At 38.5% G+C, this 14,749-nt stretch overlaps 1 protein-coding gene and 1 long non-coding RNA gene across 5 annotated transcripts in view; one reads left to right on the plus strand and one right to left on the minus strand.

Annotated features, from left to right (window-relative positions):
- GPC6 (glypican 6) overlaps positions 1–14,749 on the plus strand; it is a 1,191,492-nt gene that overhangs the window by 929,173 nt on the left and 247,570 nt on the right. The window lies entirely within an intron of this gene.
- GPC6-AS1 (GPC6 antisense RNA 1) overlaps positions 8,492–14,749 on the minus strand; it is a 33,799-nt gene continuing 27,541 nt past the window's right edge. The window contains exon 4 of the long non-coding RNA NR_046535.1: positions 8,492–8,705. This is a non-coding gene — a long non-coding RNA (GPC6 antisense RNA 1). The remainder of the gene's footprint in view (positions 8,706–14,749) is intronic.

The raw sequence follows: 14,749 nt of genomic DNA on the forward strand, positions 1-14,749 counted from the left end.
TGGGGGAATTCAAAGATGAGCGGACCCTAAGCTCTAGGAGATACTGATTAAAGGAGTCATACTTATAAATAAGTGAATATGTAATTTAACAGAAGGGAACATGTGTTATGGTGAATGTATAAACAAAAGGTTGAGTGAACATGAAGCATGAAGCAACTAACCCAATCTGGAGGTTTGGGTAGAGAAAATCAGTATTAAGCTGCAACTGGACAGGTGACAGGAGGATCAAATGGACTTCTCTGTGTCTGCAATGAAAGAAGTCTGAGCTAAGATTTTATTTAGAACTTATTAAATGCTCATAAAAGGATCAGATGAATAATTTAAATGAGCAAGTAACCAATGACATTCATTCAAAACTGCGTAAACTTATGCAAGAATGCATGTTTTCTGATATTTCTGCTTTGTGGAAGCTCGCAGTGTGATCCATAATCATGTCACATGCTATTTTCACCTTTGATACTGTGAGATCCTTGAAGGTGGAGTCTTCATGTTATCCACCTTTGTATCCTGAACACTCAGCAGGGTGCCTGGTGCATTGTAGATGTGCAATATATGTTGTTCTGAATTGACTTACACCCACCAACCACTATATTAAAAATAGAAAATAAAAGAAAAAAAAACAAGTTGTGTGACTTCCTCTAGACACAGTTGTAATTTACTATCTAGGACAGTCTCACCAATCAAGTATTTATCTCCAGACCTTGAGAAGATAATTTACCTTCAACAATTATTATTAATACCTTTTACCAACTTGGGACTATGGCAAAATTGAACTTATGAAAAATGCCTGTCTTTTTTCATCCTTGGACCAATTATAGCGTTCAAAAACAATCTTTTTCAGGTTTCCAGATAGCAGTGTTTTTCAAATCTCAGGTTGCAAACATTGAATCATTTTATCAATAATGTGCAAGATAGAGACATGTCCAAGGTTACTGAACCAGGATCATAAATCAACTCCTTGATGACATACCTCACAAGATTTAAAAAGAGAGATCATATAACACTTTGCAGATGGAAAGTCCCATACCAGTTGTTGTATATCAAAAGTGATACCAAAAGGCAATTTCTTAGAAATATATTAATTATGTGATTGACCAGATCCGAAAGCATTTAGATAACTTGGGGATAAAATGAGCGTTGATAATTATTTTAACATTACATTCTAGCAATGCATGTTTGAATTTGCTGAATAAAGAAATAGGTTTATATATTTCCACTGTTAACAGAAAAGCAATAAAATACTGCAAGGGAATTTTTCATTTGTTCTTGAAATCTGCTTCTAATGTTCATTTCACTCCCACTAAAGGCAGGTTATTACCTTGGATTTCCTAAAATCAGTGTATGCTTTAAAAGTGAATATTGAGAATTGTGGGTACTACTAAATTTAAAATACAGAATGACCAATGCCAGATGACCCTGACTAAAATAAACTAGAAAATTGAAGTGATTATAAAGATCATTTGCAGGTCAAAAAATAATTTCCCCCTCTTAGCCTCTTAAGTCCTTCATTTTCCTATCTCCTGATTCTGTCTTTCCTATCTCAACTCTCCTTATTTTCTTAATTCTTTGCACATAGAAAGATTTTGCTTTTCCTGTCACCTCTGTTAGATGCATATACGGGTACTCCAAACACCTTGCTTGATAATTTCAGCTTGGCATCATCATTACAGGATGTTAGGCTCTATAGCCTGGGTCAAATCTCAGGGCTACCACTCACTAGCTGAATGAGCTTTAGCAAGTTATCTCAATGCTCTAAGCCTCCATTTTCTCATAAATAAAGTATGAGTTGTAGCATTGTTTTGAAGGTTGAGTAAGATGATGCATATACCATGCTTACCAAACTTAAAATAAGCATAAACTGTTGTTGTTATCATGATTAACCAATGCCTCTTCCTTCTGGTTTAGTGTAAAAAGTGTGGCACACTGAACTGACACTGGACCAAAGATCAGATCACTTACCCTGAGGCCCTGGCTCTGTGACCCTGGGCAAGTCATTTATTCCAGAACTCTGGTTGTCTCATCTGTAAGCTGGGAGGCATAGACAACACTACATTAAAGAGCCCTTCCACATGTGTTCTAAGTGAATACATGCTCCACATTTTTACTCATAACATTCTTGTAGATCACTGGAATTGTACTCATTTATCATAAAAGTTATATAAGATATAGGAAAAAAAGTGGACCCATGAAACCTGGTCATGTGGTCAGAGCCAAAGAGAATCCAGTTTGATGTAAAGTTATTTTACTCAAGTACTCTGTGGCAGGGATTCTGCTGAGGTAGAGTATTTGAGCAGAGCACCTTGAGACCAATGTCACAGAAAATATTCCAGCAAATAATTAATGGTGTGTGTATATATATTGCCAGCTACCCTGCTGGAGCCCAGCAATCTCTCAGAGGAGATTAGTGGTCCTTACCCATGTGTCCAACCATTTCAATACTTGCTTTTCTCAATGATCATTATCCTGAAATAAATCCAAATTAAATTTTATGAACCAGGATTGAAATTATGTGCCTTCAGTATCGAGCCTTCTAATAGCAGTTATTTTTATTGAAGTATTAAAGCAATTGGCTTGAGTCATCTTGGAAACACTGCTTTCATATTTCAAATATGGTTAGGAGGCTGTCAGCACATATTACCAGGGATTGGAGATATTTGCTTATTAAATGATTTTTACCAGGAAAAACTCATTACAGGAAACATCTTGTTTACAAGGGTGTCCTGAGGATAGCAAATGGAAAGAAACATGTTACATTGAATTATAGAAGTAAAATAAGTTGATTCAGCTAATAGATTCAATGGAAATATAAGATATTATTTTGCAAGTCAAAGACAACTGCAATTTAATTTAACTGACAGATTTCTACTGTAGGATGTAAACATTAGATAGAAATATTTACTTGAAACTGTAGCGACCATTACATGTTATTTTGACATTCTAGTTTAGGCATCTATATCCAGTGATTTTTCAAATGTTATTATTATTATTATTATTTGTTTTGCCCATACAAAGAGAAAATAAAGCAGAAGCACTAATGATGTTTGATGGTGGGAAGGATAGAGGAGAGGTTAAGAGAACAAGTTGTCAATGAGATTAGTTTTGAGTTTACTCCCTGGCTTTGTGAACTTTGGGTAGGGATTTAACCTCTTAGAGTTTCAATGACCTCATCTATAAAATGGAGATAAAATATATTTAATGTTTACTGTGTAGTCAATGGAGATGATATGTGAGTGAAACTTAGCATGATGCCTAACACACATACACACACACAAAAATTGAGTAAACAGAAATTTCACTACTTCTAACCATTCAGTTTATGCTTTCAGATCTTAGGACTTGGACTCGGCTTACAGATCCTGGAATTTGCAAAACACATTCCCTTTTTCATGGTCTCTTTTCTACATGCCTGATTTCTCACATTTTTTATGGCAGCTGAAATAGCATTTTAGTCATCTTTGTGTGCCTCCCTTCCCAAATCCATGGACAGTGTAAGTACTGAAAACATTTGGGTAGATGAATGGAAGAAAACAAAATGAACAAAGAGAGCCCCGAAGTCCCCCAAGAGGACACAATGGAGATACCGACTGCAAAGCAGGCATCTGGAATGCCAGCTCAGATGGCCTGCTTGTCCCCAGGAAAAGCTGTGAGAAAGGATATTATTGGCACCAGAAAAGTCTTACTAATGTCAGTAAAGACAGAACTTGGGTCCAAAGCATTCTCTCAGTGTGATGGTGTTCACATATGCCTTGTGTGCCTTTAGAACATAACTTAAGTGCGATAGTATGAACTGCTACAGTCCAAACCTTGTAGAGCATTGAACATCCATGCAGAACAGTTAGAAGAAGAGGGACTTCTGGTGAAACAGAGCCCACAATGAGGGTCAGAATGTCATGAGTAAGTTATCATATTTGGAATCGTGATGTTTCCTAATAAGAGGACCAAGCCCTGTAAGTCTGAGCCTCGATTTTTACTCAGAATCCTAGAGAAAAATGCTTAGTCAGAGGCTAACAAGGTCTTAGCCTCCTTGACCCACAGAGAAGAAATACAGGAAGGGTTAATACATCCCAGTTGGCCAAACCTGCAGAAGCAGTCACCCCCTCCCAGTGTACCTTGTAGTTTGACCATGGCACTTCACACACTTCGCACGTTCTATCTCCTGTTTGACTTTTTTGAGGGTGTTTTCTGTCCACACTAGACTGAATCTCTGAGACTGGAATGGTATCTTCACCATTTTTCTGGTGTCGCATCACTCAGCATGCTGCCCTGTTCCCAGTCACCTCAGGAAAAAAGGTATAGGCCAGGATAACAGGAAGCACATGGAGTTTGGAGTCCCAAACACTCTGTATCATGAACTTCCTTCCCAATCCTCCCAACCAAGCCCTTCTTGGTGCCCCTTATCTCAGAGAACAGTGCCATCTGCCTCTAAGTTGCTCAAGTATTAAAGGCGGATGCATCCAGGTGCCCTCTTCCCTTCCTACACAAATCCAGCCAATCACTTCCAGTCAATCATGTTTCCTTAGCATCTCTGGAACTGGTCCACTTAATTCTATTTGCCTAATTTACCCCACCATCATTTCTTGCCTGTATTATTGCAGCAAGGACTGATATCCTTTTCCCCCCTTGTCCTTCTAGCCCACTCTTCAATTTGCAGCCAGCGTGAGCATTTGCTGTCACAAATCTGACCATCTTTCTCTTTAGTTAGCTTTGAAGTCTCAGCTTTTTAGTGTGTCTTCCAAACCCCTTCTTGTTCTGACTCCTGCTGACCTTCCAGCTTCATTTCTCACCTCAACCTACCTCCTTCCCCAGAAGTACTGGGATATTCTTAGCTCCTTAAATGCAATATACTTTTCTTATTTGATGTCTTTTATCCTCTCCACCTGCAACATTTTTCTTTCTCTGCTCTCTGTCCTCTTTCTTTTTCTTTTTCTCCCTTCTGATAGGAAGCATTCTTTGATATCCACGCTCCTAATAAATGTGGTTTAGCTGCTGCTCTTAAAACTACACTTTGGGACCAGCATGGATTAGGGATATTTTTCCCTAGAAGAAGAGATATCTAAGTTGAAACACAAAGAATAAGTAGGATCAAATGAAGCAGAAAGAGAGAGATCAGCAGTATATATATATATATATGTTTATTGAATGAGTAAATAAACGAATGAAGACAATTTGACAAGAAGCACCTGTAAAGCATATCACTGAGACCTTGGTGTTCTGTTGGTAGCTTCTCTTTCTGAAGGCATAAGGTAAAACTGTCCAAATATAAATTTCCCTCCTAGTTTGCTCACTCTCCAGAAAGCTCTGAGCATTTTGAAATATATTCTTATGATAGCTCATTTTATAACATAAGGAAACTAAAGCTGCCTGGCCTTATGGATGGAGCCACATAGTTATAGATAAGTCAGACACCAAGATAAAGAGCATTTCCATGAAGTGAGGTAGAGGCAGGTGTGGAATCCAAGCTTACTGAATGGTCTAATGCTGACTTTTTTACACCTAGAATACCTTTGTGAAAATGAAATATATCAAGAAATGAGGACATTTAAGGAAGGCAGGCAGCAGAAATATGTATATCAAAAAGCTGAAATAATTGGATGAGCTATTCTCTATGAAAACCACATTTTTATCATAACTGGAAAAGATCTGTTATAAACTGAACAACAGAGAAATGTTAAGACCTTTTATATCTGTCCCCCTTGACACTACACTGAGAGCTATGCTGTTGTTATGTTTTCCGAATCCCTCTGTGGCTTCTCTTGTAAGTGAGCAGGACACTACAGAAGCTGACATGCGAAGGGCCCTGATAAACCAGAATGCTTTTTCCATACAGTAAATTCGAATGGTTATTTGAGCTCAACAGTGTTTTCTCTGGTGTTTGAAAAGCAAAAATAGAAGGATCCACCAAACACTGCAAGTCATGGAAACTATAGACGAATTGGGTGAGTTGAGGGCCCTGTGATGGCAGAGAGATGTCTTTATCCGAGGCAATGGTGCACAGGTAGACAAGCACACTACAGCAGCTCTGAGACATTTCCAGAGCCTTCCTTCGAAAGGGCATCCCTAAACAACCTGAGTCTGTAGAGGTGGATAATGGTGTGTGCATTATGAGTATGCACACAAAGGAGAATGTCTGTTATCCTTAGTGCAGAGTAAGTAACATAAAGTCTAGTGGAAATAAAAATATATAAATTTAATTGTATGACATAATTTGTTGGCTATAGACATTCCCTTTCACTTCTTTCTTTTTCCATTTTTTCTTTCTTTTTTATTGACCCGCTTTTCCTCCATTCAGTGTGGAAGGATAAGCACTGAACAGAGCCATACTAGAGCAATCTACAGGGACTTGTTTCAAATTCAAAAATTGGGTGACCCAAGGTTCTAAAGTCTGTCAGATGAATTTGAATAATGCAGGTATTGGCACTCTATGGCAGCCACAAATGTGGCAGAGGTAATGAGTTTTGGAAGCTCCCCTGAGCCTCAGGCAGAATTACAATGTCAATCAAGTTTATTTCCTTCCAAACCTCCTTTTCTTTACCCAGGGATGGATTTGCTTTAGTTGGATGTCCAAAGTTCTTGACTTACTATAAAGAAGTAAAAAGTGGATTGGATTTGGAGACATATAACATGAGTTTGAACCCAATCCAGTCAATCATTGCTTGGGTGATCTTGGGTAATTCACTTAAATTTGCTGCTTCTCAATCTCCCAACCTATAGATTAAAAAGTCACTCATTTATTCATCAAACAAATAGTTCTGAAAACTTAGTACATGTCAGGTATTAGAACTGTATTTTTTATGATTTTTTAAAAACATCATTTACCCCAAGAGTAAGTAGGTAAAATGTAAAGTATAATAGGAAGAGCATTACTGAGATCAAGTTAAGTGAGATAAAGTATCCAGTACTTGCTTACTTCACAGTTAACACTTACGGCATATTGCTACATCCTCAAGCCTACTTTAAAAAAAAAAATCATTGTATTCCCCTTGTAAGAATTAAACCTCCCATCTCTTCAGTGCTGCAACTCTCATTAAGGTATCAATCTGATTACCTAAGTGAAGAACAGTAATTTACCCTTAGGGGAATTTATGCTCCCATAAATAATTTACTATTTTTAAACGGGAGCTTTTTAACTCTAATGGAAGTCAGCTCAAGGCAACCAATAACTACTAAGCACCTACTATGTTTTAAGTCATGTGGAGATGTAATCCCCACCTTCATGAGTTTTGAAATCTATAAGATTTGTAAAAATAATATATCAACCCATTAAAATTTAAAAAGCTAAATTTTGAAAGCAACAAAAGTTTTAAATGATTGATATTACAAAGGATTCTATGGGACCCTATGTAATTTCAAGTAAGTTATGTGTCGTGCAACCATTACTGGAATAAGTGTTGAAAGAAAGGAGAAATCATTTTCTTGGTGGAAAATATTAGGGAGGCACAGGAGAATTTAATGAATGTTGCCACCTGAGTAACTCACCCACCTAGAGATTGCCCCCACTTCTTCCATTAATACCCTCACATAGCTCTTCATGCGAGTCAGATTCCATTCACCAGTTCTCTTCTCACTTCATAAATTTTTTTCAACATCCTTAGCTTAGCAAAATAAAGATCATCACTGTTACCAATTAGATCAAATACTTAAAAGGCCAAAGCAAAGCTCAGTCTTAACAAATAAGAGAATTATGAATCTATGAACTTGGAGGGAATCTTGTAGGTAAACACAAAGTATGATAAATAGCAGCAAGTCTTTATGAAGCACATTAACATAAAATGACTTATTTGATCCCCTCACCAACTCTGAAAATGGGAAAGGGCAAAGAAAGGTCATTTTTCCACGACCCTCAGCTGGTAGCTAGTGGGTATGGCATCCACCCAATGCTTGTGTCCTATCTACCATTTAAAAATGTCATGTAGGAGAAAAACTTGCTATGCTCTTTCTTAGAAATTGAGAGTCACAAAAAGGTATAGTATGTATTAGTACAGGAGTTAAATGTGGACTAGGTTCTTGCCACTCAAAGTGTGGCCCACAAACTAGCAGCATCCGCATTACTTGGGAGCTTGTGAAAACACAAACAACTGGCCCCATCCCAGAATTCCTGAACCAGAAGCAGCAGTTTAACAAGATCCCCAGGTGATTCTTATGTGCAATAAATCTGAGAAGCACTAGCGTGTGTAGGTTCTACATCTCTGAGTTGGATACAACACAACTCAGAATTGTGCAAATAATGTAATATACAAGAAAACACTTTTTATATGAAAAAATACTATATAAGACTTCATAAAATAACAATTATTATTCTAATGTATAATAACCCAGTCATTCATATCAGCATATTGTCCTACAGTTGAATATAAATAACACAAATAGCTGGAACTCTTGGGAACTTGAAGGTAATCAAACTAGACTTAGTTCAGGTATAATATTTATCCCAGATGAGATTATAAATTTATATTAAGATGCCAATTTAGCAAATATCTCATGATGCAGGTTGCATTTTAGCTTATTATGGGAGGATTTTTTTATTGCGATTTTTTTTTACAGCTACTCTGCTCTTCAGGATTATTTTAGTGTTGTTTTTAGGCCAGTAAGAAATATCAATTATAACATATTGTAACCCACTAAAATATGCCTTTTAAAATCGTAGATTCTCTTCCATTTTTTTCCTCCTTCACATTTACATGGCAAAAGGTTTATATCTTCAAGATCTAAAACAAAAAGACATGGAAGTTAACAAGAGCAGTGTGAAGCCTGAAGCCTGGAGTGCTGACCTCTCATTCAGTGCTCCTTCCTCCCCTCCACTGGGGCTAAAAACTTTGCCAACATGTACCATGTGACTGCAACTGAATCTGCAATGGCATGCATTGGTATTTTCACAGAGAGCAAGGCTATCAGCCTTGGAATCAAAAGACCTTGGCCGAAGTCCCAGCTTTGCTCATTTTAAACTTGAGTCTCACAGATCTTTTGCCCTTCCCACCTCAATTTCACAACCCAAAAAAAAGGGCACCAGAAGCAATGGTATTTAAGAAATAAAAGGGAAATTTTAAACTCTGCCTTTTAAGACGTTCTGTAAAGACCTTTGGTTTTCTCCTGAGGTTTTAACACATTATGCCTATACTGATCATCAAACCCAAATTATTTTCCCATTCTTTTAAAGTATGTATCTTCTGCACCCAATATCATTTTGTTCAGTAAGCTTTCTGCAGATATTCAAAAAAGTACCCCCCAAAAGCATTGAGTATTTTTCTCCCTGTGTTCTCCTTCTCAGCCACCTTTGTGGCTCCTCTGCCCTTTCTTGTCCCTTGAGCGCTGGTGTCCCCAGGGCACTGCATTGGTCCTTTAGTCCGGCTCCCTGGGGGTACACCTCTAAATTATGCCTTCTAACTACCAAGAATTTCCACTCTGCATCTGCAGGTCAAACGTCTCTCCTGATGCCACTTCCACAAATCCACCTACCTACAAGGCATTTTTGGTGGTAACCTATAGTCACCCCAAAACATGCCAGAAACTGAGCTCACCCTTCTCATCCCACAACCTGCTCCTCCTTCTTTTCTCGAGTTTTCTATTAATGGCCTCATCATTCTCCTAATGACCCAAGCCAGAAACGAGTTATCATCTGGATTCTGCTCTCTCCTACACCTTTTAAATACCACTGAGCAGACATGCTGCAGGTTTTACCATGTAAATATCTCAAATTACTCTATACCTTTTCCACAGCTTTCATTCAAGCTTTTGTTAATTTTCACATGAACAGTAACCACCTTTCTCTCTGCCTCCAGCCTTGCCTTCTCCTAAAATCGAAAAAAGCCTAAAACTAATCTTCATATTTTATCAAATGTAGATCCCCAAGCCCAAAACATTTAATTCAGTGCAGGGTGTGGAGAGAATTTGTCTTTAACAACTGCACTCCTGGGGCAGCAATACAGGTCAGACCAGGAGAACTGACCTAATCTGTTCTCTACCATAAGAGGATAACTCTTCTGATACGCAAATCTGATTAACCATGCCACTTCCCTGCTTTTAACTCTTCAGTGACTGCTATTTCCATTTAGGATAAAGTCCAAAGTCCTTGACATAGACATTCGCCACCTGTCCTCTGCCTCCCTTTAGAGACTTGTCTTCTGCCACACCCCCACCCATACATGCTATTGTGAGTGCATGTTGCCTGCACAGGAACAAGAGGGGTAGAGAGAAAAGAGGCAAGGGAGGGATCCAGTACTGACTAAGAACACACTCCACATTCACTCATTTGATCCTCACAGGTGCTACCATCTCCATTCGAAGGATGAGGAAAGAAGCCCAAAGAAGTAGGGTAGCATGCCTGGGCTTCAGAGGCAGTGACAGAATCGAGACTAAAGCCAAGATGATCCAACATCAAAACACCTTTGGCTTTTCCATATCTCTGCCATAGGACATACTTCAGAAAAACGGGATATGTCAAACTATATATTATGTCAATTATGGCCAAATGAAACAGGGTAAACTTAAGTAAGATAAGGAGAAACCTGGCAAGTCCTAGCATTATTGTGGACTGCTGAAAAACCAGAGAACAGATCAAGACAACAGTAGTCACAATATAAAGATACTTTTTAAGCAGATCCTTCAGAAAGGTCATAAATGTCAGAGAACAAGTTATAGATCTGAAAGGGGTAATGAATATGGATATAGGTATAGATATAGATACATATAGATACAGATATAGAGATAGATATAAATATAATATAGATATAGACATAGATATATAGATACTGCAAATGCCAAACATGTGATCCAACAGGTACACCTATAGAGTGAGAACAATTGTGATGTTGCAGTGTCTACCCAACCACACCCACACCCCAAATGTGATAGTACTGTTGGACACACCTCATTGACAAAGAATTCAGTATCTTTTCTGTTGCTGCAAAGTCTTCTATGAATACTTTGTGAGGCTGCTCAAATCATATTTGCCCCAGGACAAATCAGTACAGGGCTCAGTGTCATACCAACTAATTTGAATAAAACAATAAGTGTGCCTATTTATATTCAGACCCATGCCCAGGAGCTCCCAGAGGTGTGGTAAGTGTTGCTTTGGAACAGACATAAAATATACATAGTTCTCATTTAAGCTACTGCATATTTTTCTGGTGCCTCTCACAGCTATATTGATAGCCATGGTTCTAAGTAATTAGATGAGTGCTGGAGAAAGGAATTAAGTGTTAACATTTTATATCCTCAGATTGGCGAGGTTTCTTCCAGAGCTAATTAAATCAGTGTAATTCAATTCAGTTTTGAAAACCTACCTATCCTGATTACCCACTATGCGCGAGGAGCTGTGTTAGAAGCTATGGGGCAGACGTGGATATAAGGTGGTCAGAGAGGCTGATGAGTGTAGTGGTTAAGCAAACGAAAAAGATCCTGGGGCCAAGACTCCTAAATCTGAAGCTCCGTTCTGCCCCTCTTTAGATGTATGGCTTTGGGCAAGGTGATTTTACCTGCCTGGGCCTTAGCATTCTCATCTATAAAAGGGAATGTGTCCCTTCTTCATAAAGCTTAAGGGACTGAATAAGTTATTGCCTGTAAAACTGTTATTATAATCCCAATCCTCAAGCCATTTATTTTCTAGAGAGAGAGAGAAAAGCTCAAAGGAAGGTAAAAATGGGCATTGCTTTTGGAACCTGGAGAATAAAGAGAAAGAACACCTCCAACTGGAGGCTGAATCATAGAAACCTTCGTGATAGGAGTCAAAGCCCAGGTGGGCTTGAAAGGATGGAGAGTGGGAGTAGAAATAGCCGTGGGAGGAGACTCTAGGTGCAGAGAATGGGAGAAGTAATGGCCCAGGGAGTGTTCTCACAACAGTGGGCAGTGGAGACTGGCAGGAGCATAGAGGTATAAAGGAAACCAGGAAATAACTACGGCTGGAAAACCAAGTCAAAGCCCCATTGCAGAATCTTTGGTGCCTTGCTAAGTATTCCCAACAATAGAGGGCATTGAAGGACTTGGAGGAGGAGACTGGTTTGACTCCTGCTGTGACTTGGGAAGTTCCCCCTAACAGCAGTGTGCACACTACACTGGAGGAATGAAAACTGGAAGGCAGGAAGACAGTAGGCAGTAGGTATCACGTCAGCCATGTGAGACATAAGTGAGCTTTGACTGGTACAGTGATAGTTGAAAGAGGTGTGAAAGAAGTTGCAGAATTGGGCCATGATTGAATGTGCACACAGCAGGAAAGGGGGAGTCAAGGATAACTGAGAGCTCAACATGGGGAGGCTGGGAAGATGGAAATTACCATGGACTAAGAGAAAGAACACAGAGTACCCATAATATGTAATTCTAACACCCATTCCCCACTAACCTGCCAATATTGAGTTCACTGCCAAATCTTAAAGGCAGACAGCCATTTGGCTAATGGTCAGTAAGCCCAATTTCCTGCCAGATATTAGGGCTTGCTTAAGAGTTTGCCTCATAGTGTTTGAGAAATGATACGCAACCTCTCCATGGAACATGCATTTTGTAATAGCAAAATTATCAAGAGCCTTTTCAGTGCTACAATTGAGATACTAGCTGTGAATCAATGTTCAAAAAAATCTTAATAAATTGTTTCAGATGTTACTAGGAAGGATATTTCTGGAGTGTCAATTAGACACAATTATAGTTTGAGTTGAATAATTACCCTTTCTTGTACATATTTTGATGATGCTTTAAAAAAAAAAAAAGACTAATCTGAGAAGAAAAAGATGATAACTCACATGCCATTAACTCCTTTAAAGAGAACACAATTCATAAATGAAATGCCTAATTTAAATGCAATTTAGAAAAACATTCCCAAGGATAAGCATTCAAAATCCAGCCTAACTTTCAGCAAACAGAGGGGAAGGACAGAAGCAGGCAGGAGAGAATGAGTAACAAGGGAAAAGAGAAACAGAAAATGAGAGCAAGTAATTAGGATGTAATTAGAAGATTTAGGGGAGAATAAGAAGAAAAATAAGACAGAGGGAGTGAAGATAAACTCTGTAAGTGGTAAAATTTTACCACTTCGTATCTCAACTCAGGAGTGGCAGGTGAGATGTTAGTGAAGATCATACAAGTAGTTAGGTCTGGGTTCACACCTCAGCGCATCCATTTGCTACTACAATCTTGGGCATCTCCATTGACATGTGTGTAAAACAAGGATAATTACAAGACATAGCATATGGCAGCTTTTATTAATACTCATCTTTAAGATGCGTCTTATCTTTACCACTATCCCCCAATATTAATTCACCCTACTCTGTTCCATCCAGATGTTCCCTAACCCAGTACCACAACCCTTTCTCACTCCCACCTGTAGGTATGTACTAGTGCTTTCCTCCGACCTGGCATGTATAATATATCTTGGGAGACATCTATGCTGATATACACATACCTAGGCAGAGATGACAAACAGAAACAAATTATAAGTGTCTGTGTCCTGGAGTCAGATGATTTGGGTAGGGATTCCACATCAACTACTTACTAGCCCTGAGACATTGGGCATATCACTCATTCTTTCTGAGCCTCAGATTCCTCACTTGTTGAAAAAGTGGTGGGCAGTAAAGATTAGTGGGAGCATAGAGATGCAAAGGAAACCAGTATATTCATCCGTTTTCACACCACTGATGAAGACATATCTAAGACTGGGTAATTTATAAAGAAAAAGAGATTTAATGGACTCACAGCTCCACGTGGTTGGGGAGGCTTCACAATCATGGCAGAAGGCAAACTGCAAATCTTACACAGCAGCAGGCAAGAGAGAATGAGAACCAAGTGAAAGAGGAAACCCCTTATAAAACCATCAGATCTCATGAGACTTAATTTACTACCACGAGAACGGTTTGGAGGAAACTGCCCTCATGATTCAATTATCTCCCACCAGGTCCCTCCCACAACACATGGGAATCATGGAAGCTACAATTCAAGGTGAGATTTGGGTGGGGACACAGCCAAACAATATCAACCAGGAAACAACTAAGACTAGAAAATCAAGTTGAAGCTCCATTATGGAAGCGTATGCGAGAATTACCCTGCCAATATATACTTACATGTCTAAGATAAGGTCTATGCTCAATAAATGGTCACTAGTACTAATTAAAAGGTAAACAATAATATGTTCTAGGTCCTGTGAGAAATCTTCTCAAGCAAATCCTGCCCATACCAATGTCACCATTCTCTAAGACTTGCTATGCTTGTTACATTATCATCAACCAATAACTTAGCCTGTGCTGTCTTATATCTCATCCACTAGCCTACCCATTTTGGTGCTTTATGACAGTTTATATAGGCAATATATATTTAAATAATAATCCTGCTCTTTTTTATGTGCAGTAATCCCCCTTTATTTGAGGTTTTGTTTTCTGCAGTTTCAGTTTCTTATAGCCAATCATGGTCCGAAAATATTCCATACGATAAGATATTTTGAGAGAGCAAGACAGAAATCACATTCACATAACTTTTATTGAAGTATATTGTTATAATTGTTCTATTTTATTATTAGTTATTGCTGTTAATCACTTACTATGCCTAATTTATACATTAAACCTTACCATAGCCATGTGTATACAAGAAAAAAATGTAGTATACATAGGGTTTGGTGCTCTCTGCAGTTTCAGGCATCCACCAAGGGTCTTGCAATGTATATCCTCTGTGGATAAGGAGAGATTACTATATGTATCTTATGGTCTTATATCCTATATAAGTCACAGATAGGAAGTAAAGCATTTACAAGCACCAGGGCCAGCTACATAATTTTTGAGGG

This window comes from Homo sapiens, chromosome 13 (genome assembly GCF_000001405.40).
Source record: "Homo sapiens chromosome 13, GRCh38.p14 Primary Assembly".
Classification (NCBI taxonomy): domain Eukaryota; kingdom Metazoa; phylum Chordata; class Mammalia; order Primates; family Hominidae; genus Homo; species Homo sapiens.